Source organism: Homo sapiens, chromosome 10 (assembly GCF_000001405.40).
Source record: "Homo sapiens chromosome 10, GRCh38.p14 Primary Assembly".
Taxonomy (NCBI): domain Eukaryota; kingdom Metazoa; phylum Chordata; class Mammalia; order Primates; family Hominidae; genus Homo; species Homo sapiens.
In genome coordinates, this window is record NC_000010.11 from 115,823,727 (window position 1) to 115,850,145 (window position 26,419).

A 26,419-nucleotide genomic window follows, 5' to 3' on the forward strand; every position below is an offset into this window, starting at 1 on the left:
GAAGGACCTCTTCAAGGAGAACGACAAACCACTGCTCAAGGAAATAAGAGAGGACACAAACAAATGGAAAAACATTCCATGCTCATGGATAGGAAGAATCAATATTGTGAATATGGCCATACTGCCCAAAGTAATTTGTAGATTCAATGCCATCCCCATCAAGTTGCCATTGACTTTCTTCACAGAATTAGAAAAAGCTGCTTTAAATTTCATATGGAACCAAAAAAGATCCCATATAGCCAAGACAATCCTAGTCAAAAAGAACAAAGCTGGAGGCATCACACTACCTGACTTCAAACTATACTACAAGGCTACAGTAACCAAAACAGCATGATACTGGTACCAAAACAGATATGTAGACCAATGGAACAGAACAGAGGCCTCAGAAATAATGCCACACCTCTACAACCATCTGATGTTTGACAAACCTGACAAAAACAAGCAATGGGGAAAGGATTCCCTATTTAATAAATGTTGTTGAGAAAACTGGCTAGCCATGTGCAGAAAACTGAAACTGAACCCCTTCCTTACACCTTATACAGAAATTAACTCAAGATGGATTAAAGACTTAAACATAAGACCTAAAACCATAGAAACCCTAGAAGAAAACCTAGGCAATACCATTCAGGACATAGGCATGGGCAAGGACTTCATGACTAAAACACCAAAAGCAATGGCAACAAAAACCAAAACTGGAAAATGGGATCTAATTAAACTAAAGAGTTTCTGCACAGCAAAGGAAACTATCATCAGAGTGAACAGGCAACCTACAAAAATGGGAGAAAATTTTTGCAATCTATCCATCTGACAAAGGATCCAGAATCTACAAGGAACTTAAAGAAACTTACAAGAAAAAAAAACCCCATCAAAAAGTGGGCGAAGGATATGAACAGACACTTCTCAAAAGAAGACATTTATCCTGCCAACAAACATATGAAAAAAAGCTCATCATCTATGGTGATTAGAGAAATGCAAATCAAAACCACAATGAGATACCATCTCACACCGGTTAGAATGGCAGTCATTAAAAAGTCAGATGCTGGAGAGGATGTGGAAAATAGGAGCGCTTGTACACTGTTGGTGGGTGTGTAAATTAGTTCAGCCATTGTGGAAGACAGTGTGGTGATTCCTCAAGGATCTAGAATCAGCAATCTCATTACTGGGTATATTCCCAAAGGAGTTTAAATCATTCTACTATAAAGATACATGCTCACATATGTTTATTGCAGCACTGTTCACAATAGCAAAGACTTGGAACCAACACAAATGCCCATCAATGATAAACTGTATAAAGAAAATGTGGCACATATACACCATGGAATACTATGCAGTCATAAAAAAGGATGAGTTCATGTCCTTTGCAGGGACATGGATGAAGCTGGAAACCATCATTCTCAACACAGGAACTAACACAGGAACTGAAACATCATTCTCAACATCAAACTAACACAGGAACTGAAAACCAAACATCGCATGTTCTCACTCATGAGTGGGAGTTGAACAATGAGAACACAAGGATGCAGAGAGGGGAACATCTCACACCAGGGCCTGTCGGGGGTTGGGGGACTAGGGGAGAGATAACATTAGGAGAAATACCTAAAGTAGATGACGGGTTGATGGGTACAGCAAACCACATGACACGTATATACCTATGAACAAACCTGCACGTTCTTCTGCACATGCATCCCAGAACTTAATGTATAATAATAAAAAAGGACCTAGCGTATATAGACTTTCTATATTTAGACATTATTAACTTGGTACACTCATGCTTAAAGTTGCCCTGATCTGCCACCCCCACCCCCAACATGGCATCTCGTTACCTAAAATATGCTTAAAGTTACAAATCCTTTGCCTACAAATGGCACACAGACCCTTTGAGATCTGTCCACACTGTGCCTCTCCATTTGTATCTCTCAACTTTTCCTGTTAATCGTCAGTGTGTTTTAACCATGTCAAGCTGCATGCCAGACTCTCTCTGGACTTCCCAAACATTAATAAATACTAGTCCTTTGTGACCCAGCTTTCTGGCCAAATGCTGTCTTCTCCTGGAAGATTCCTGGCTCTAGCAGTTAGTCAACTTCATATAGTTATTCAAGCTGTGCAAGCTTGTATAGCCTATGTATCGTTGCATTGTGACCTTTTTTTTCCCTTAGGGTCTTTCCCACTTGAACTATTCCACCTGTTAAGCTCAGTGCCTAGCGCAATGGTGCACTGCTGAATGAATGAATGCTGTAAATAGAAATTAGTATTATATATGTAGACATGGGATTTTAGCTTTTATTAATTAAGCTTTTGGTCATTTAGTGTCATACATCTTGAAGTTTTTGCAAGGGTGAACTCACATGAAATATACACATATGATAAAAACTACCTCCTTGGAGAGCTGTTTCCTGGGGAATCTATAGATGGTCATGCTAGCTATGACTGTTCTCTAGTATATTTTTGGAAATGGATCAAACAATATACTATCCCATTTTTTTTTCAAATCTGTTTCCCTCTGAATTTCTCTTGGGTTGCTGGACACTGGCACCCTCTGTCACAGCTTTCTTGCTCCCACAGTTAGGCAAGCAGGAAGGAGTGGTACCCAGTGGCTTCCCTTCTTCGCTCCCATAGCTTGGCGGGAGGGAGTGGCAGCCAGTGGCATCTTCTCTCCCATTGTTCAGCAAGCAAGAGGGAGGGTTACATCTTTTTTACTCCAGCTGCCTGCAGCTCGGTGAGCTGGAGGGAGTGGCACCCAGCAGCTTTTTCACTCCCATAGTTTGGCGTATGGGAAACAATGTTACAGCCCTTTTACTCTCACCTCCTGCAGCTGGTGAGCAGGGGTGTTAGAGCTCTTTTTGCTCCCACAGTTCAGCAAATTCCGGGTTCTTGTCCCATGACTAAGAGGAATGAAGTCACGGACACCGGAGAGCGAGTAAGGCAGAATAGAATTTTATTGAGCAAAAGAAAAGCTCTCGACAGTGAGTGGGCACCTGAAAATGGGTAGCCATCTGTGAAGCTGAGTCCGGGGTTTTTTATGCATTTGGAATGAGGAAGCGCAGGCTGTAGGTAATCTTAGAAAAGGCAACATTCGATTAAAAAATGATAAAAAAGCATTATTCAGAAAGAACCAATTGAAAAAGAGTGGGTAACAGGAATAGAAGTTCTCACTCTAGTTCATGGACTCTATCTGGAATTGGTAGTTTGGTTTTCAGACTTCAGAGGATCCTTGGCTTGTAGGTCAAGTTTCACCAGGGACCCATCCCTGTCTGCCTAGAAATCTGTCTCCTGACACCTCCATTCAAGTGTCATACATCAAAAAGCTACATATTATCAAAATGTGTTTCCCCACAGACAGATTCCTTTGCAAAACTGGATGGGAGTGAACATCATGGCTGGCCGTCTTGTGCTGTGTGACAGAACATTAACATGCCCAAAGCCAGAGGTCTAGAAGACAGTGTCCCTGCCACAGAGGGAGCCTCCAACGTCTGAAAGTCCGACAGCATTGACTTTAACTCATTGCTTTATAAAAACTGTAAACAACTAAACCCATGAGGCAAGAGCCAAAGTATTACAGCTCAGTCAGGCCACACCCCCTGCAAACTGTTTCTGGATAAAACAGTCATAACATTGGCTTGTGTGCTGGGATTTCACAGTTTAAAATATGCATGATTAGTGCCTATGATTGATGTGTTAACTAATGAAGCCTATACCAGTTTAGCAGATAATGCTGGCAGGACGTAAGGTGTCTCAGACAATTTCCCATGTGGTGTTGCATCAGTCTAAATCCCTTTGAGGTCACAGGCAGGATATTGGTCGATTTTAATGTTGACGATTATCCAAAAGAATGACCACATCATGAACACATTACATAATGTGGTGGGGGTTTCAGTCTTCATATGGACAAAAGAATTCTAACATCCTAATGGATGTACCAAACTTCTGGCTGGGATAGATATGAAATTTAGAGAAGAGATGAGAGCTGCCTTGTCAACAGATTGGCTCCACATGCCACATGTTGGCATAGGTAAGAGATGACATATGAACAAAAGCAGTTGTCGAATACTGACACAAGGGAGCTTTCCTGGACTCAGTGAGCATGAAATAGACTAGCCTTAAGCAGTGGTCACAATGAAATCATGGCTAAAGAATGTTTCCGTGGGGCTGTCTCTGAAGGCAGTACCCCAGAGCTCCTTCTTGCTCAGCACCCAAGACAAGTGGACCACAGAGAACTGCAGCAGTCCAAATGGAGCCGAGGGCAGATCCATTAACAAAGGCCCCAACTCACATGGAATGGAATGAATGCTTCAAGAAACACCAAGCCTGAAGCCGGGCACGGGGGCTCACGCCTGTAATCCCAGCACTTTGGGAGACCGAGGTGGGCGGATCACCTGAGGTCTGGAGTTCGATACCAGCCTGACCAACATGGAGAAACCTTGTCTCTACTAAAAATACAAAATTAGCCAGGCGTGGTGGCGCATGCCTGTAATCCCAGCTACTCAGGAGGCTGAGGCAGGAGAATCACTTGAACCTGGGAGCCAGAGGTTGCGGTGAGCCGAAATCACACCACTGCACTCCAGCCTGGGCAACAAGAGCAAAACTCCGTCTCAAAAAAAAAGAAAAGAAAAGAAAAGAAAAGAAACACCAAGCCTGATGCAAGGCTTGGAAGAGCAGACTGCCTGCAGCTGTTAAGGCTGTGTGGAAAGGCACTGTGGAAAATGGAAATCAAGGAAATAAAGCAGAGATTCTTCATGGCTTGTCAGTTATTTTACTCTAAAGGATATTTCAATTGCAATGAAAGGTTTAAATAGACAGGTAGCTACAGTACAATGTTTGCTTCTCACTCTGGTACACAGCATGGTGGTAGTTGTCTACCTGTTTTTGTTGTTGTTTTCTAATTCCTCAGGATTTAATTAATGTTTTACATTCAGTATTATTTAGACAAGCTCAAATTATAATCATTATATTTACCTCCCTAAATTTTATTACTATTTCAGTGGCCTAGGGGGAGTTGTTTGCAGATCTAACCTTCATAATAGTCTATTAAATGGCTGCCAAGTTTCACCACCTCGATCTAGTCTGTGCGAGTAGTGAAATAAGTATGCATTTATCAGCCTGTGCAGGACAAATCTAAGAGTCTCCTAATAAATTTAAAAGAGCATTACTAAATTCCTCTTTAAAAAATGTAATGTCCCATTATTAGCCCTCTCCAAATTCCCAATGTCATTAGAAACCTCAAGGTGTCTACATGCTGATAGCATTTTTAGGGGAGAGGGCCTTGGATTCAAGATAAAGAGTCCTAACTTCTGCAGATGGGCATTATTTCACAATCACCCTTTTTTTCAGTTTTCCTATCTGTAGAATTTCCCTCCATAAATATCACATGAAGACCAAAAGCCATAAGTGAAGATTTATAAAATATTTTTATCATAAGAGTGATATGCCACATAGCATTTGAGGGAAAAAAAAATGCACTGAATGACCAGACCTACAGGAAGATAATCCTTTATCTCTACAGATTATTTCTACTTTAGGAAAAGAAAAGGGAAATTTATGGCAGATAGGAGTTGAGAGCAGCAGAAGTGTTAGGAGGAAGACCAGTAGAGCAGACCAGCCATGACTGGGTTGGAGTTTTTATAGGGAAGAGAGCAAAGAGATTTTAAGCGGGTAAGACACATAGGTAGATAAAAACAACTTTTTAGGAAGGTTAATTCTGTATTACATGATCAAGCTTATGTCAATTTCCACTTTGCAGTCTCTTCAGGAGATTTCAGCAGGCTTTCTTTTTAAATTTTCTTTTTCAAAAAAAAAAAAAAAAGTAAAATATTCCTTATCTGCAATGCGAGCTGAGCAGCACAGTGCTCCTTGGTATTTATAACTCATTTCCCTTCCTGAGCTAGCATATACTTTTAAGCCAAAAAAAGATATACCCTTTTCCAAGACCTTCTCTGTCTTATGCCACCAAGGAATTCCACTTCAGTAGTTGCAAAATCAAGGGATTTTCTTTTCCTTTATGGTTTTGGAGACTCCCCAAGAGCTAAAGCAGAAAAAAATCAACACTAGATGGCCCTAGAAGATGTACTCTTCATGGTTTTGTCTCTTGTCTGACTGCCCGGAGAAGAGTTCCTTAGGCATTTACAAACACAGCAATGCCACCTTTTAGCCCCACTCTTTAGGGATTTTACATGACTAATTTTAATTGCATAAAAGGAACTCATCTTTATCTTGGTGTGTGCAGTGCAAAACACTTAATGTAGGGTCTGACTCTATTCTACAGTAAGTGCAGTAAGTGTTAGCTACTATTACCTCATCAGCAGACCTGCAACAAGAGAGTCCTTTGTTACTACAGAATTCTCCTGCCCTAATACTGCCAAAGTCTGCAGTTCTAGCTGCATATATGCAGTTCCTGGTGCATTGGCGGATCTCAATAATATTTGGTTTGTGGATATACAAGTGAACAAAGGGCTTTGGGTTTTTGTTTTTGTTTTTGTTTTTAGCAGAAACTAATTCATCTGGCTAAATAACCTAAGAATATGTAGGAAAAAAATTACAACCAGAATAAATTCTTGTTTGCTCTTTATAAATGGATCATTGGCAACCTTTGAGGTAAGATTTGATGCATCTCTTCAGTAGAAATTCAGCAAGATCAACCTCCTCATTATGTGGAGCAGCACACTGAGTAATAAGAAATCTGGCATGGCTACAGTATCTTGCACATAGGCCATGCTCAATAAACATTTATTGAATGACTGTCTTGTTACCAAGACTTTGTAGCAATAAGCTTTAGGGGTTTTAGCCTGACCATCTGCTTGGCTGGGATGAGTCGTGATGATAGTTCACATTGGGTTTGTGTTTACCAGTTCCTAAAATTCAAGTGTGTTCAGATGTAGATCCTCTGTTAGAAAATATAGCAGTATCTGAAAATGTCTTGCTTTTCAAATAAAAGGTGCAGAGGTGTGAGTGTTTTTGCACTGTTGGTTTCAGATGGAACCACAAGCATTTGGCAGCATATTGAAGAAGCTGTCACAATCGAGCTTTTCCTCTTGGGGAACCTCAACCAAAGCTCAGCGGTCATTTCCCATGGAAAACTATGTGCCTTTGGCCAGTTGTGCTAAGATAACTTATTGGCCTCTCTGATGTCAGCTAATTTCTGTCCATCAGTCCTCAGTGCCTGAGTGACTTTCCTCCAATTCATATGAAAGTATGCAGAAGGAAAGTTTTACAGCTTTACAACACAGAGCAGGCCTTGCCTTTTTATCCCTTGGCTGTGAGCACCAGTCCTTAGCCACATACATTCTCTTGTATTCTGCTCCCTTTCCTGTCCCACATTCTTCATAGATTTTTCCACGTTTTCTGGAAAAAAAAATCAAGAAAAGCAATTTCCTAAGATAAATGCTCCCACCTGCCCTTGTTCTTCCAGAAACACGGATGGGCTGGTTGGTTCGTTGGTATTTCCCGGTTTGCTTCCCTTTTCCCTAAGTGCGTCACTGACTCTTTGCTCCCGGGAGAGAATGAGCATGTGGAAGCCAGAGGAGGCCTGTTCACGCCCCTCTCCCCTCCTAGCACCTCCCGGCCTCCTTCCTTGTATGTGTTTCCCTTTAATCTCTCAATCTTACATCTTTCATATTTGCAAGAGTGTACAGAACTATTTGAGGAGAGAGAACTGGAGATCTAGAACTTTTTTTTAACAGATTTTATTTGTCATAGTTCCTTAATAAAGAGGAATGAGCATCTCATAGATGAGTGCATATGGATGAGCATGATACAGCCCAGAGCCCACCTGAGCTCATGAGAAAATCCCCCCAGTGAAAAGCACGCCGGGGTGAGGGTGGAGCGGAGCGTGGAAAGCAAACCAATTGGAAAGGTGTTCCCTGTATTACCAAGAGCCCAGGAGTCAGTGTTTAGATGTTCACTTCTTGCACCGGCTAACATGACATAGCTACTTTGTGTCCTCAAGCAAGTCTCTTAACTCTCAGAACCTTAGTTTTGTCATTTGTAAAGTTTGGGTAGTAAAGGCTGCTCTCACCACCTCACATAGTAGCTGCAAGAGTCAAGTGAGTTTTTTTTTTTCAAGTGAGATTTTTAAAAAGCTTTGTCAATTGTTAGGTGCTTTAAAAAAGTCAACAGAGAGTGTTATAACTGAAAGAGATACTTTAAAATTGCTATAGCTACCTGCTATTAACTAAAGGCATTAAGAAACTTGAAAACCAACACCAAGAAAAAGAGTATAATTAAATTCCCCGACAAATAGTAATTTCATCTTATTCAAATAGTCTTCTTCTGAAGTGATCTCAGAAAATATGGAGCTATTTACAGGATTAATATGTCCTAACTTCCCTTTTATGAGGTAAATAAAGGGGGAAAAAGCTAAGGTCATAGAAAATTTGAGGGTTATTGGTTGCCAGAATTGGCAAAATTAATTTATATTTCTGCTTTGAAACCTGTTTAGTTTCTGTAGAAAGGGGAACTTTTCAAATTAAAACTGTAGTCTGGGTCAGAAAGCTATCAAATAGCCAAGGTAAAATAGGGAGGAATCCAGGATTTTCCCACCATTCACTCGTGCTGTTGACTCCTGCCTTGTGGGCCTCATCTTGGTCAGGAGCTGCCACTCACCTTTTCTCACCTGCAGAGGCTCCACCAACCTAAGTGGGAAGATTGGCTTCTGTTACCAAGAAGCAGAGCATAATGCTAAGGGAAGGATAGAAAACCCTTTCTGTTGTGTTTCTTCTATACTTGCTCATCATTTGACATTGTTTTTGCACTCCCTTCATTCCTTCAAATCTCATAGACTTTCTGGATTCTGAGTCTCAGACCTTGAACTACAACGTATGCGTCTGTCTGTCTCCTGTGGTATGTCATTACTTCCAGATGCTAGTATGGAAAGTGGGGAAGAATTAGGCATTGGAATTATGATAAGTCTGAGTCCAAGTCTCGACTCTTCCACTCTCCTTGCACAGGCAAAGGAAACATTAGGTATTCAAAAATGGCCACTATTATTATGTATGTCACTTCTAAACCCACAACTGATTTATCCATTCTCTAACCCTTTACTTTTGCTGTCCTTGCTTGCTTGCTTCAAAGCCACCCCTTCTTGATCCTGCATCTCTGTCTCAACCTTTTATCTGATACTCACACCTGAATCCCCTGCCCCAGCTCTGACAAGATCATGAATTAGAGTTTCATTGTAGAAAGATCTATGGTGAAGAGATGCAATGAAGTATCAAGGTAATTCCCTTCTAAATGGAAAATGACCATCACAAGTATTTTTATGTCCCAGTATTTCATTTTAGTGAGATTTTTAAAAATTCCTTCAGGACATGTAAGAGGAGAAAAAAAAAGAAATTCAAATAGCAAACTAAGAATGTATGGTGTTCATTTGTAATAAGCAGGAAAGTTAAATATATTTTTAAGGAGATAAAGGAGCTAAATCATAACATAGCTGCCATTCATTGAATGCCTACTGTATGCAATACAATATACCAGGTGCTTTAAATAAGTTATTGAGTTTACTCGTTGCAAAAACCCTATCAGTAATTAGCACTATTATTATTCTCTTTTATAGGTGAAGAAATTTGGGCCTAGAAAGATTAGTCTAGTTACCTAAAGTCACGTGATCTGTATGTGGTAGAGCCAAGATTCAAACTTGATTTTACTTTTCACGGCATAGCGTGCTCAATGTAGAACCAGCCTGCAAGAGTTTCCTCAAAGGCTGTGTCACACCAGGGCCACATATAAGCTCCTGGGCTATTCTATCATAAATCAGAAGATACAGGCTAAGTTATAAGAATAAGTTATTATTATAGTAAGAGTGTATGCTATGTTAAACAGACCATTAAAATGATAAAATTAAATAATAATCACTGACATTTATTGAACACTTGCCCTACGCCAGGCAGTACTCTAAATGCTTTGTAAGTATCAATTTAGTTTATCCTTACAACAATCCAGTGAAGTACATATTATAATTATTGCCATTTTACAGATGAGGAAATTGAGCACAGAGAGTTAAGAAACATGCCCAAGTAAGCGGCAGTTAAGAATTAATTCTAGGCAATAATGTACCAGAGCCCACATGTTTACCCTCTATCCAATACAAACTGCCTAGTTAATTTAATCCTGTGTTCTAATTCTTTTGAATTCTAATATAAAGCACATTATCTTGTAAAGCTTTAGTTTAAAGGTCTGCCACATAAGCAACAGGGCCTGCTCTTCACCATATGTGTTCATAATCTGGATAATTCCCTGATGGGGATCATTTGGAGCAAACATTTCTTATGGAATGATTTTCTATGACTGTGCTATGCTCAACTGCCGGAGCACTTCACTGCTATACCTCAATGGAATGCCAGCGACCGACTGTCTTTCTATCTACAGTTAATTTGGTGGCTACCGCTATGCTCTCAGGAGCCAGTTGTCTATCATATCCCTGCATACCCCACACCTTTAGTCCACTCCAAGAACTTGCTCCCCACAGTAGGCCTGTGAGTCTGAGGTTATATACTCTTATTCTACTGGCATCCCATTAGAAACTACTTTCTGCGGCTCCAATATTCCTTCTTTATTTTGTCACTTGGGATTTCAATCAGATATTTTAAAGCTTCCTGTCCTTTGAGCCATATTATTTTAGATTCTCTAATGGTGGGATTATACCTGTAATTTTTTCTGAACTTTTTGAAACCCACTTCCCTAAGTTTAGTATATATGTCTGAATCCATAAGGCTCAACAACTCTTCTTTTCTGACCCAATCGCCTACTTCTCCCTTGCCTCTCAGACTCTTCCACCTTGTTTGCAAAGTTTGTTTGCCTGTCTCTAGGCAAACCTCTATATTTTATTGGAATGTTCCCTTTACCATTTTGCTCTGGTAAGGTAATATGATCAGTTTCTACTTGTTTTGAATAGAATGAGATTGCCAACAGACAGGCAGCTGTTGTCGGATTTGGAATCTGTATTAGCAAAGCATCTTCCTTGTTTGTTCTCCAATGGGATGTCTACGTGTAGAACCACAGTGATGTCACCTCACACCTTCCCCTACTACCTTCCACCATGTGTTAATCTTCAAGATAATGAATTCTCCTCTGCTGTGTATTTTCTTGCCTTAGTGTGATAGGGACCAATATTTATCTTAAAAGGATTGATGTAAATCTTCCACCCAAAGGGTTTAGTTTGCTTTGTTGCAGTAGTTTTTACAACTAAGATGACATATTCATGTTCTGGATTCAAAAACCTTTTAATCTTGCTAATACTTGGAACATGTATTAGTACTTAGCAGTGTCCACCAACTGCTTTTTAGTTCACCTTCCACTTCTCAAGGGAGTGCTCAGTAAATAGTACATGCTCAATTAATAATAGTTGACATTATTATTATTATTAGAGAAAAGACATATAAAGTTGCAGTTTTCCAAGAGACAATATGACTTAGCAGGCAAACAGAGGATATTGGCGTCTTCTCTGCCATCCCTTTTGACACCTTACAGAACCTTGGTGAGATTAATTAATTACTCATCTTCCACTGTCCCTGAATGCAAAATAAGGGTGACCTTATTTCAGAGGAAAGGTGACCTCTTCCTCTGAAAGCTTCATGACTTAACAAAAAGTAAGATACATTGAATCATTTGAATGCCAACTGTGAAGAATAAAATATTGAGTAATGCTTACTCAGTTCTTTAAACTATTGACCTAGCCATGGAGTTAGCACCAAGATCATAATTTCTGCCCTTTTTTGAAGATAAAAATCACCATCAGAATTGCCAGCCAAGGTAGGAAAATTGAAGAGGAAGGTTACAGTCCTGAAGAGCAAGCACTCATATGGGAGAATTGGGAAAGGCAATAATATAGCGGCCTCAGAAGCCTGGTGAGGAACAAAAGTATAAATGCCCAATAACCTTATCTATACCACAACATATAAAATTGGGCCTTGGCCCAGTCACTCTTAGCTAATAAAGAAATTTATCTTTAGAACTGTGAATATTATAGTAGGACTGGGATGTGCTGCCTGCATTCCCACTTCGAGACTGAGCCTCTCATTTTCACAGCTCTGAGCAGAGTCCTTCTCCAGAAATCACCCTCTGCTGAGAGAAGCTGCCTCTCACAATGGCCATGCCCCCTCGCTGAGGACAGCCTCCATCCATGGATAGGTTCAGAGACTTAGCCTCTTGTCTCAATGTGATACAACTCTAAAGAACCACCCACTCAGGCAGAGGCTGCCGCACCACAGGTGAACTTCTCCCTCTGCCACATTCTGCTCTGTCCCCCCACACCGATGTTGTTCCTGTGGCTACTTCCCAATGAACCTCCTGCACACATGTCTCAGAATCTCAGAATCTATTTCCTGGGGAATCCAACGTATAACGTATACTACCTTTGCATTCTAAGGAGCAATTACAACTATTTTCAATTTTAAGAACATCATCAATCATACAATGATCACAGAATTCCCATAACTAAGTGAATCTCCCTCTTGACCTTTGTGTGGGCTGCATTTGCCATGCTATGTGATATGTAGCTAGTTTCTCAAGTGCAAGTGACTTGAATGGCCCCCAAATAGGGGAAATATTCTGAGGTATTGAGACTGGCCAGTTACCGTATTATACTTATGATCATTTCCAAAACAAAAGAAAAAGATGGCAAGTAATCAATACTCCTTGGCCATTCTGTTGAAGGTTGGTTTGTGACTAGGGAGACTGTATTAGCTCCTGAGGGCTAAATTACCACAAACTTGGTGGCTTAAAAAAACAGTCTGGGGGCTAGAAGTCTGGAATGAAGGTGTTGGCAGAGTTGATTCCTCTGAGACCCTGAGGGAGAGTTTTTCCGTGCACCTCCCCTCGCTTCTGGCGTTGCCTGCAAACCTTGGTGCTCCTTGGCTTGTAGATGCATCACTGCAGTCTCTGCCTCTGTCTTCACATGGTGAACTCTTCGGTGACTCTCCCGTGTGGCATCTCCTTGTATCAAAAGTAGGGCAGGCCTACCCTAATGGAGTATGACCTCTCACCTAATCTTAACAAATTACATTGGCAAAGGCCCTATTTCCAAAAGAGGTCACATTCTGAGGTTCTGGATAAACATGAACTTTTAGAAGATGCTATTCAACCCTCTGCAGAGAACAACTGAGGAAACAACCAAGATCTGCTTCCCAGTTGATACCTGTATTTGTGCTGTGGATCTTTTAATTAACTGCCTTAAAAGAAAACACAGTGACCCAGATGTGTGCAGTGGGCGCCACCCAATGACAGAAGGCTCCTTGAAGGCTTAATCAATTAGATAATTAGTAGGACCAACAGGGAGTTGGTAAAGCAGCATAAGTAAAACCAGGGAAAGGATCATTACCCAGACTCTGACCATTAATTTTTAGTCATACTGAAAAAAGGAGCTTTGGGGAAAAGACAGATTTGAAGAGATATTTTATTCACTCTCATATACTTCATTTTCTAAAGCAACATGATGTGGTAGTTGAGTTCACACAGTAAAATATTAGATAATTTGAGGAAAAGACCTAAAGGAATGCTACACAAATATATTTAGTTTGGCCACATAAGGACTCCACGTATCTCAGGTCATGCACAGGGGTAGCAAGTCCTGTCTTGTGAGTTCCATAACTTTGATTCCTGCAGGAAGACCCCAGAGACCTGCAAAAAGCATCCTCCGTCTACTAACATCCTTTCTCTCATTTTTCCCTCTTACCTGACTTGATTATAAAATTAGGAAATTTAAATTTAGGAAATAATGAGGAGACAGCTAGTAAGCAAAGAGGCTTCCCAAGCCACACACACACACACACACACACACACACACACACACACACACACACACACACACACACACCAGAACACCCTTAGGAGGCATTTCTAAGCATATCCATCCATAAAATATTTTTCTGTTTGCTGTATAAGCAGAAAGGTTTGCATAGAATATGTCCTTTGTAATGGCTTTTGCCTCTGAGCTTTCTAACACTAGCATTGATCAATTATCATCTTCTCCACAATAGACTAATGTTTGAACTTGGAACTCAGTTCTAGACCAGACACTAGAATACTCGTGCCATACTTTCGGACCAAGCCAGAGAGAATGACTTCACCCAGGAGAGAAAGATAAGAAAAGATCTTGATGTGTAAGCCTCCTTTATTTACTTGCCATCAATCACCAAAACAAAGTGGAAGGAAGGGAAAGGGAACTATTAACATTGACCCATATAAAATTGCTGATATTCAATTGGTTTTGACTTTTAAAAATTGCATTTGCAAGTGATTCTACCTAATATAAAATTGTATTTAAACAACTACTTTTTGCCAGTCACTATGCTAAGTGCCTTATTCTTATATTATTCTTTATAATCCTCAATGTAAACTTTCAAGATTGGCATTATAATCTCTATTTTCTGTATGGAAAAGCTGTGGCACACAAAAGTTCAATAATTTATTCAAAATCCCATAATATTTGAACCCACACCCACTTCATGTCCAGTAAAGTCATTTGGGTCTGCTGAAGTATTTCTAGACTTTATAGTAAGATTATTTTCAAACTCTATTGTCAAAATTCTTGAAATTGCAAAGGCTACTCCGTCTACAAACTTCAAGGGACGTAAGAGGATGGTTACAGACTGTCAAGAGGATGTCTGTGGTACATGGGATTGGTAATGTAGAAATTAGGCAGTGCTTTGAATGTTACTGACAGGTCACAGCACACTGACAGCAACAGGGAAGAAGATATTGTGGAAAATAAGACAACCTCTTGAGAAGGTCATCTCAGTATTTGTATCACTGATGGGGTTTACAGAAAAGCAGTCACTTTATCCACTGGCAGCTGCATAAGTTTTAGGTTGCATTTATGTAAAGAAACAAATAAGTAACAAGCAAGCTGGCATTGGTGGTTTCTGGGACTGAGGAAGAGGAGGGAAAAGAAACCCCTAGGGCTATAGCTGTAACATACTTACTCATTCGCACATTTGCAGCTCTATGTGTCTTTAGCATTCTGTGAAAGCTGATGTTCATAATGTTGATCATGGAACATCGAGACAATACTAAATTATGTTTAATATAGACTTGTTGAGAAGCAGAGAAAAGGATATTCGTTTTAAGCAATTTCGCAGTATTTTTTTTAATACCCTAAAACGGCAAAGTTTTAGCTCTTGTAGAGTTAATGTTCACCTTTCTGGGAAAACTCTGTAATCCAGAATGACTTATTCTCTGAGAAATCCAGGTAGTTTCATACATGCTTTTGTACCAAGTCATATTAAACTCTTTCATTCATAGTTTTGTCCATGCTTTTGTACTTATAATAGGTTGCAACTGGTATAATAATTACAGTAGAAAGTCATTTATTATGTGGATCTATTAACATCTGATTCCTCATTAAGCATTAAGAATATTGCCAAATCTGCACTTTTATTCTTTCTGCTGACAGTTAGTTTTCACAGTGCTTCTTGATTTACTTTTATGATTGAAGTTTCAGGAATAAATGTTTTAATTTAATGTTCCCTCAGTATAACAGATTTGACTAATAGTTTAATAAAGGGACACCGCAAGTTTCTAATAGAGAGAGGTTTGCTTGTGTTCACGAGGGATGATGCGCACATCTTGATGAAGGCTGCCCATGACCCACTGTGTGCTGCACGTGTCCGTTTCCATCCGAGCATCTCAGCACAGCATTTGAAGCAGGTAGTGAGAATCCCAGTCATGGCCAGGAAGGATGTGAAGGGCTAACGGGGGACCTGGATATTTTGGAGGGCCTCAGTCTTCCTCTCTTGCCTCTTCTCATCCCTCTTTACAGAATATTTCCTAGGCTGTATCCCCAATGAACTTCTATCGATTTCCAATACAACCCATATGTCTTTGCACCTCTGTGTGCATGCCCTTACTTCTGCCAGAAATCCTCCTTCATCATTCTCCTGGTGAACTCCTAGTCATCTTCTGCAAGGTAAAGTCCTTCTCCAGAACTTCACATACCCTCTCCTGCCTGCCTCCCTCCGTTACTACCCCCAGGACTCTATGCATAACTCTTCCAGTGCATTCAGCTCCAAATTAGTCAGAGTTGCATTTAGCTTAAAAGGATGCTTCACCAGAGTGGGTACTGTGCCTATGTAGCACTCTGCCACCAATAATTAGCACATTTACCTTTTAAAAAGAATTGATCTATCAGCTGTATTCTTATGGTGGCCTTCTACATTAATGAATGACATAATGTGTTTTAGAATGGACTAGCCTGGGAAGTAATACCAAGATCTTGATTTTTCTAACTTTCCCAATGGTTTACATCTATCTATTCTAGATTGAGATTTTGTTTATAACTTTGAGATTTACCTTGTGCACAATTTGGAAAAGGGAAAACAAACATCCATTTATTCATAAAATATTTCTTAAATGCCTCAGTCTTAGGTGCCAGGGAAAGTCTGTTCTCGGCAGCATATAATGCTTACAGTCAGGTCAGATTCCTTGATAACAGCAGGGAACAAAAATGGGAAGAACAGGCAGGCTTTCCGGGGCAGTGTTGATGTGGTAAGTATGGGAAGTTTGGCATTGGGATTAGATTTTTCCTACCCTGAAAACCATCAATAAAAATCTCTCCTCAAGGCTGAATTTCTTAATTAATTCATTTCAAGCCATTAACAGAGATTTTAAAAATATGGTCTATGTCCTCAGATATCTTTCTTTTGAGTTGAGCATATTCTTCATACGGAACAAAGAGCAATTCCAAAGCAAAGTGAAAACTGGACAGAATGGTGTAATAACAATCACTGACTTACTGAGTACTTACTGTGTGCTATACTTCATGTATATATATTACTCCTTTAATCATTATAATAACACTGTGAGTAAGGTATTTTTAGCTCTACTTTACAGATGAAGAACTTGAGGCACAGGGAGGTTAAGTGCTTTAACCAAACTCATGCTTGGATGAGAGCATGGCCTTGAACCCAGGCAGTTGGGTGCTAAAGGTTGTTCTCATAACCACCACGTTACACTTCCTCTCAATGCTTAAAAAGGAAAAATTATTTACTCAGAAGTATTGAAAGAGAGTAGAGCAAAGAGGTCCTGGAGTGGCCTAGCATGACCTGGCATGGCTTCTTGCAGGTAGAGAGATTTAAGCCAATATAGCAGGAATGGTAGATGTTGGCAAGAAGTCTACGTGAATGGAGGGGCCTGAAAAAAAAAGCCTAAGTCTGGGCATGAGCAAGATGGGAAGTGACTGATTTGGCAGGCACAGTTGTCTCTCACACTTAACAGTACCTTTCAAGGCCAGAAAGGATGTTCTTAATTTTGAAACTCATACATCAAGTATAGTGGTTAGGTTGCTTTTTGCACTGAGCTGTGGAGAAAAGTACAGGTTGTTACAAACCTAATTAAGATAATTATTTAATAGAAATCTATTTTAAAGTTTTGAAAAATGCTAACAGGAATCAACTTTTAAGGATAATCTATTCAGAGTCACCTCCTATTAACAGTCATGTTATTAACCAACTCAGGGCAAAGCATGATTATATAATAGCTCAAGAAGAGGTAGTGTTGTCTCATTTTACTTTCTGGGACCTAAACACCTAGGGAAAAATAGGTGATAAAACTGAAGCTGTCACAATCCAGCCTCTTTACTCCCAAAGTCAGTGCCACACAATTAAAATAACTACAAAACTCAGTTAATCTAGATAGTATACTATAAAGATAATCCTTAAATATGGGTACATATGAGTGTGTGTGTTTGTGTACATGTGTGTGTTTAGTTAGAAACTTTGAACACAGATTGAACTTGAAGGCATTTCAGCAAGGAGAGATATTTGGTAGGATATGAAAATGAAGTTTACGGTTGGAATACCTTCAGAACCTCAAGTGCAGCATCCTGATTCTGTGAAGATTATGTTTTATTCCTTTACCTATTCCCACGTGTAATACTTTATTCTCTTTGAATTGGCTTCTAATGCAATTTAACCCTGTTTTTGAGTGTCCACTAGCTTAATTTCTTTTATTAATATGAATTCTTCTCCTTCCTACTGAATAAACCCAGCTAATGTGTTTTTTTCTCCTTTATCATTTCATGCAAAGCAAAAAGTAAATAAGGAAAGAATATGATTTTCGCTTCCATTTTTTTCCCCAAGCCTAAACAATGGAATCGGAGAATCTGTTTTTGAAATCTGGAATCTTAGTATTTGCTGATCCTATGGAATCAGGACACTTGATTAGCTGCGAGCCAAGTCATCAGGCCCACTTAATACAATACTCAGTAAATTAATTCAATTTTACTGATGTGACTAAAAACTAAATTTCATATCAATATAAACACTTATTAAGCTGCAAATACCACATCATGCAAGCTGTTGAAAAAGACTCATTTTTATTTATAGATGAATTCTGATAAGAATAGCATTAGAAGTATTTTAGTAGGGAAATGTTAGAGTGATTAATGTGTAGTTGTTTGCATTTTTAATATTTCACTCATATATCAGATTAGGATTTGTGCATACTGTCAGAATTTATTCTGTTCTTGTCAAAATACTTATTACTGCTGACAGGTATAACATATCCACATTAATCCTTAATTCCTTGATTCAATTTTCTAATTGCTTTTTTGGCATGCGATGGTGGCCATTTAGTCTTATGTGATGTATTCATCATATGGTATAAAAATGTTCTTTAAAAATTAGATGTGCCATTTAAAGTAACTGAGCAGGAAGAAAAAAATACTAAGGATTGGAAATTTTAAATTTCACCATACTTAGACAAACTATTAGATACTGGTATGTCACAGATTCTGGAGGTTGTCCATAAATCATAGTCACAGAATGTTAAAGAGGAAAGGGACCTTAAAAATCATCCAACCTACCTGTTCATTTTCCAGTTGGGGAAACTGACTTAGTAACAAGCCCAGGATCACACAGCTAGCTAGTGGGAGAGCTGGTCTGAGTACTTATATGTTCTGATCACTAGTCAGAAATGGGGTAGGTATTTGCATATAATTGTTATAACTGGTATTCTAAATTGATTTTTACTATTAATAGGCTGACAGAATGAGAGACTCCTTAGCTTCTTAAGCTGTATGTTTTAGTAATATTGTATAGTGGCTGAAAACCTAGATTCTAGAATCAGAGTTCCAGTCCTGGATCTGCCCCTCACTAGCTGTCTTACCCTGAGAATACAGTCTGACCGCTCTGAATTTCAATTACTTCATCTGTAGGAAATGGAAAATAACAGTATCCTGCTAATAGGACTGCTGTTTAGGTTACATACAATAATGCATGTAAAAAGCTTAGCATAGCACTTGGCATCTAGTAAGTACTCAGTAAATGTTACATATTATTATTATTAGTGTTTTACTATCCCTTTAATATCCACAATTTGGAGAGAAACTTGGTCATGCCTTGTCGCTTATTTCACCATGTGACCTCTGTGACAACTTCATTTATTCATTCATTAACTCTTTCACTTACCATGTGCAATGCACTCTAGTAGTTGCTATAGGTAAGACAAGAATCTAACATGATATCTGCCTTGCAGAAGCAGGGCTATACAACATGTACATCAATAAGTATAATAAAACATTGGGAGACATAGGTCCCAAAAAGGTGGCACAAGCACCGTGCTTGGACATTTCAAAGAGAGGAAGTGAGCATAGGGGATATAGGGATGAATAAGAAACCGGACCTGTTCTCAAGGAGCTTGATCCAGTGGGAAATAGACATTTACCCAGCTGTTATTCAAAGTAGAAAATAAAGAGGGTCACAAAAGTTAAAGTTAAAGAACTAAAGAGGGAGAAACTAAATATCTCAGATCAGAGAAGGCTTTATAGATGAAGTGACATTTGAGTTGGCTTTGAGGGACGCATAAGATCAGGAACGTTGGAGACCTGTGGGAAGGATGCCTTAGACAGTAGGAAGATTAAGAGTGAAGAAGGCACAGATGATTCTGAAAACCCTGGGAACAGTTGTTGAACAGTTATTAATAGCACTTAATTTGACTAAAAAATAGAGCTTGTGCAGAATAAAGGATGTGATTAGATGAGTATGTAGGGAATGTCATTTTGGACTCAAGCCTCTTTTGACCCAAGACATGGTCAGCACACGTTTTAAGAGTTAATGTCTTTAAAGAACTTTCTAGTTAGTACCCACTACTTTTTATTGTCTTACTCTAGAGGATAAGTCAGTCTTCCTACCTATTACAGGCAATATAGCATAAAGTTAAGCATACAAGCTCAGAAAATGGACTGCATTGGTCCAAATTCCTGGTTATGCCACCTATTAGGTCTACAACTTTATTTATGTCACTTGAACTCTTAGACCTTCAGTTTCATCATCTGTAAAATGGAAACAGTCAGTGTCTCATCGGGTAGGTATTGACATCAGGCATATAGTAAGTGCTTAATAAATGTTAGCTATTATTACTGTGTTACCCACCTGTGCCTTGAAGCGACTTAGTTTACAAGTTCTGCTTTGGAACTACTGAAAAGGTTTTTGAGAAAGGATGTAACATCTTTTTAATCTTGAGTCCTTGAATGTTCTACTAAACCCCACTTAAATTGTAGTGACTCGTCCAAGGACATCAGATAATTCTGTTAAGCCCTCACCTGCTGGAATATGGTTTCTAGTGATGGGTCTCAGTGTGATTTACAGAAGTGAATCCCTCACTCGCCATTGGAGAGGGCCAGTGGAAGAACAAGTAGCCAGCTTTACCCATTGATGTTTTCCAAACGTGCAGTGATTCATGTAGCAGGAGTTTCCCAGGATTGATCCTGAGCTCAAATGAACACCTCATTTTCAGAACAAATTATTAGGAGTTTTAAGAACTATACCTTGAAAATCTTCATGATTCTAGAAGCTTCTCTGGTAACATTTTTTTCTGTTTGTAATAGCTGAAAAATAGAAAGCATTTAATATAGAATTTTTGCCCCTAAAACAGCAACTTGAAAATAAGAGTACAACAGTTTTAAAAACACTAGACTGAACAAAAGCAGTCTTTTTAAAAGTGCTGTGGGCCTAATACACAGGGACTGCTAATTACGTAACTGTCAGTGATGTTTTCTGGCAGAGCCTAACACCAGCTTCTTGCAGTACAACGAATATGAAAATGCCTAGAAGTAAATCACAGTTGCTGAGTGCTGTGGGCAAACAAACCCAGGCCTTATCTCTTTGAAAGGCAGCAATGGAAAATACATGATAAATTGCACAGCTCAGTGAACATGTTATGTCATTGTGAAATGATTTTGATTCATGGTTATGTAGTTATCACGAAACAACTGCCAAACCCCAGGGTATCAGAAACATTATCATTTGTGGGGTTTTGCTATTTTCTGTTGTAAAATTCAAGTGCTATAAAGAGATGTTTGGGTTTTTTTGTATATAAAATTCTGTATTGAAAGTGATATTTGCCACATACTCTTTGGAAATAATATTTTAAATTATGTGAATTTCTTCCAGAAGTATCAAAGAGCTGTGCTAGTAACTAATATTTTAAACAGAATGAATAATTCATATTTTTGCTAATATCCTTTTATGAAAATTATTTTACCTAAAATAGACTAAGTTGTAAGTCAATTTGATTTTTTAAAATAGAAGTATAATCTCCTTTTATATAGCTTATCAATATACAGAAATTTCTGAATGTTTTCTATACAATAGCAGTAGAACTAAGAATGAAAGAGTAATTTTTTAAAGGAAGATTTTATAGAAGTAGCTTTTATGCAGGCATAATTTCCTTTCCACGTTTGAGATATTCTACTCCACTGTCCTTATTTGTTGCTAAGTCTCTGAAGTTTAAAGTGTTAATTAGACCATATTCCACCTGAAGTTTAGTTATTTTTTGTTAATTTTTTTCTCCGTTGATGCTGTTGATGATTTGATGTTTTGAAATATTTTCTGCTTGTGTTAAAAGTGGCAGAAAGATAGCCTGGCAAAAAGATCAAATTGATGTACTACTGAATCATTTGTCGTTTTTCTCAATCTCCTAAACCAAGACCCACTGTTTCTCAACTTTTTTGTATAAACATACAATTCTACTGTTCTAATTTTTGCAGTCGAGTTTTTTTTTTAACATGCCTTTGGATATGCTGAATAGTATCAGTTAATACACTGAGAGTTTAAAAAGAAAAAACAAAGAAAAGCTTGCCCGTTGGTAGAAATGATTGATTGTTTCTTAGGTATGGTTTTTCCAATATATCACTATCGTTTAAACCTTGAGTTTATTTTATGTTCTGTTAGTATATTTTAATCAATTGACCTTTACATATTGTTTGCATTTATTAAATTAAAATAACTTTTAGTAGCCTGTAAATATGATTTGAAACATTTCATAGTATTTTTCTTTTAGCTTTGGAATAAGACAAACCTATTCTCTAAATATTTACATCACTGGAGAATATCTATGTACTTATGCTGATTTTTACTTAACATTTTCAAAAATAAGTCTGTTAAATTAAATGTAAGCTTTAAAGTGTAAAACCATAGATCATGTAACTTGATACAAGTATTGCAACATGGCTTACAGCATTTTCTTGGAACATTTTTATGCCCTTTGCTTCCACCACCATCGCCACTTTCACCTTTATATTGAATGCTCCCAAAATGTATCTATATGAGGATAATTTTAAAACATGAGATTTATGTTGCTATAAAGGAGAAATCCTTTATAACCACATAAAACCATTGTCACCAGAAATTTCAGTCCAAGTTTTACAAGAAAGCAGGCATATTTTATCTTTAATGCCTCATTAAACTTTCTAGAAACGACAGTATTCTAGAATATTCTAGGTGAATGACTGCATATGTCTGTATTTCTTCTTAAAAGTTTAAATATCATCAGTGAAAAAAACCTGAACAAATCATTTGTTCTAATAATTAAAGCCGTGGTACTTATTCTTCTATTTAATTTTGCCTTTCCTCAGAAATGTTGCTTTGATATATCAACCATGTCTCTTCTATAGCTCTTTAAATGATGGCCAAAACTAACATTCCTAGGCTAAACTGATAGCCTCACTATTCCAAAGATCACATTGTGTTTAATTCCAAATTTCATATGTGGATTTGTGTACACGTGTGTACTTGTGCATATGTTTATGTGTACATGTGTGGAGGTGCATGTTTGCATATGCACACATGTCATAAGCCTGCATTGTGTGATTAAGAATGTGAACTCAGGAGGCAGCCTGCCTGAGCTTAAATGCTAGCCCAACTACTGCTAACTAGCTATATGAATCTGAGCAAGCTTTGTTAACCTCTTGCTTCAGTGTTCTCATGTTACAGAGTTGTTGTGGGTTTAAATAAGTCAATATATGTCATGCACTTTGAACACCTAACCCATAGTAACAACTTAATAAAATACTAGCTATTACTATTATTATTATTATATATTTATTTACTCTATGTTATTTCTAAAGTTATCTATACAAGTGCATTGATGGGTGATTAGTAAGTAGGTATTTCACTAAAACAATATTAAAGATATGCCAACCTGATCTCACATTTACATGTGGATTCTTAAAAAAAGTCAAAGACATAGAAACAGAGAATAGAACAATATTCACCAGGGACAGGGAGGGGGAGGATATGAGGAGATGTAGGTCAAAGGGTACAAACTTGCACTTATGTAGGATGAATAAGTCTATAGATCTAATGTAAGCAGGAGGACTGTAGTTAATACTGTTGTATTGTATACTGAAAATGTGCTAAGAGAGTGTATTTTAGGTGCTCTTTCCACGAAAAAATAGGTAGCTGTATCAGGTGATGAATATGTTACTTCGATTGACTGTAGTAATTATTTCACTATGTATATGTATATGTATCTGTGTATGTATATGTATATGTATATCAAAACATCATGTTGTACACCCTATAGACAGTAAAAATAAGAAAATTAAGATATGCCAACAGAATATTTTGAATTGTGATCACTTAATTAGATAAACTATGCTATGTTATACATCATTGGTGAGAGGAAACAATTGGGAAAAAGGAACAAAAGTTGCATAACTTTGTGGCTCACAAGCTGCTCGTCAAATATAGTGAAATTTGTTGATTTATTCAAGTGTAGGCCAAGTGCACATCCATAGTGTGCAAGGAGCTAGTGTTAAAATAACACATGGTGTGTCCTGAACAACTAGGAATGTACAGCACAGCTACCTAAAGGATAGATAAGGTGAAAATTAAAATAGCAATGCTATGTCAATTTTGCAAACTTAAAGTGGGTTTTCTTTTTCAGGGGGCACCCAAGCCAATTGCCATTGAACCATGTGCTGGGAACAGAGCTGCTGTTCTGACTGTGTTTCTTTGTCTACCACGAGGATCATCAGGTGCCCCTCCCCCTGGGCAGTCAGGTATGATAAATGAGGAGCCTTCAGCAGTTAAGCAAAACTTGTAGACTGAACAGAAGAAATAAACAATACCACTAAATAGCGCAGTAAGGACCTTTGCAAGGTTCTAATTTAGAGCATGGTAAAATTTTATGAGAATACAAACTTTTACCCAACTATCTAGATACCTGCATTGTTATAAAGGTAGATTTCCCAGTGTTTCTCCGAAAAACACATGTTGAATATGTGTTTATTTGTGTATTATACACACATGTATGTATGTTCCCATTAATTGCTGGAATTACAATGAGAAATCTCATTAGAAGGGCCACCATGTTCTAGACCCTTCCAGCCAGCTTCCTTTCTTCCAGTATGTGTGGCATGTTGGAAACCAAATTATAAATATGATTAGAAATTTGCTTTGTGAATGTGGAACCAAACTAGGGAACGTGTATGTTTGGAACGTTGAGTGGCATCAGAGGATGATAGCTTCACGCAACCATCTCAGTAGGTTTAAGATATGCCATTGCTTTCAGCACCAGCTGGAGTTCATGGACCAGGGAAACCCTCTGTCTTAGGTGGGCACAGCCAGCCTTTGTTCTGATTCTCCTTTTCCTGTAGGAAAAGCATGTTTTTGATTTCAGGATAATTATACCTGTCCTCTTAGAGCTCTGCTCATTGCGATGGTGTTGTCCACATTCTAAGCATGCTCAATGTTGAATATAAATCATACTTAAATTACAGACCACACTTTTTTCTCTCTTTTTGCATATACTATTCCATCTTTATAATTTTGAATTTTTCTGTCTCCTGATTATTTTATCTATCCAACCACTACTGGAATGAATGCTTTTTGAGGGCAAGGGTGATTTCAAATCTGTTTTTCTCTTCAATTCCCCTTAAGCATAAAATAAAATGCCAGCAAGCTGGCAAGTTCTCAATAACAGTAATTGATGATGAACCGGCCTCCTTGCTTATTTTATCTTTTCTTACTTCCCTACTTGGCTTTGAATTTGCTCCTCACTTTCTTGACTTGTGTCCAACCAGACACAAAAAATGGAAAATGTACTACTTTATGCCTTGTAAACGTTAGGTATTCATGTAACAGAATTTTTCCCATATATGGGAGCAGAGAGTTTCCATCACCTTCAGATTCATCATTCATGGTACCTGATGATATCTTATTGCAGAAATTTCTATCCAAAGTTCATTTATGGATGTTTATTCAAAGAAATAAACATTTTCTGCACCTTTTCATACATTGAGTGAATGTCTTGTTCTTTTCCTTTCAGCACCTCCAAGGTAAATGGGATGCAATAAGTAAAATAGTTTGGCACTGGTCAGATAAGATGGATAATTATAGGTACTTGCACAGCTAATGGAAGTATTGTTTTAAAACTGGGATGATTTCCAAAACAAACACTTCACTAATGAAAACAAGTCTGTGTGATATACACCAAGGTTTTTCTCGATCCTTCACGAGATGGGCAGACTGAAGGCAACTGCCAATTCTCTGTCCCTTTAACCTTTGAAGTCCTTTTTGACTGATATGAAAGAGACAAGTAGCAGTGTGAACCATTACCTCAGCTGTGTTTTCTAACAACTGCATTATGATTACTAATGTTAATGTTATCTTAGATATGCATAGTACTTTACTCTTTCTAAAATGTTTTTTCTGTTTTTCACATGTGATCCTCATGACAGGGTTGTGAGATAGGTATTATAAAACTAACATCATAAATGAGGGGAGTGAGACGTAGAAAGCACTGTATATCTACACTCAAGGAATAATTGGGGAGAGGGGATACTAGAGTATAGAGCAAAAGAATAAAAAATACTTACTGCTAGCATTCCAGGTAATTGTTCCTGATGATTTGTAGCAGAAAGCCTCTCTAAAATCAACAGCCCATGTCTTTACAAAAGCAAGCATTTGGATGAATACTGAAAATGTCTACAGGGTTGATAGAGCTAGACAAAAGATTGAAATAGCTTACCATACTTTTTACAGAGCCTGAGGATGAAACTATGATGAGTATCTGCGTACATAATTCAGAATGAGCTTGTTCTTTGTTTTCTAAAAACAATCTAGTAGATTTTTCAAGCTCTTAGAGGAGTAAGACAGTGGTTCTACTCTTTAAATTGCAGCATTATCTGTTATCTGCATCAATTTGGAAGATG

General features: G+C 38.2%; 1 protein-coding gene across 8 annotated transcripts in view; it reads left to right on the top strand.

Annotated features, from left to right (window-relative positions):
- The window catches only part of ATRNL1 (attractin like 1), an 855,635-nt gene that overhangs the window by 730,362 nt on the left and 98,854 nt on the right, over window positions 1-26,419 (top strand). For all 8 annotated transcript variants that reach the window (NM_207303.4, XM_011539587.2, XM_011539588.3 and 5 more), the window contains one exon: window positions 24,151-24,265. In NM_207303.4, coding sequence (NP_997186.1) covers window positions 24,151-24,265 — 115 coding nt within the window. The remainder of the gene's footprint in view (window positions 1-24,150; window positions 24,266-26,419) is intronic.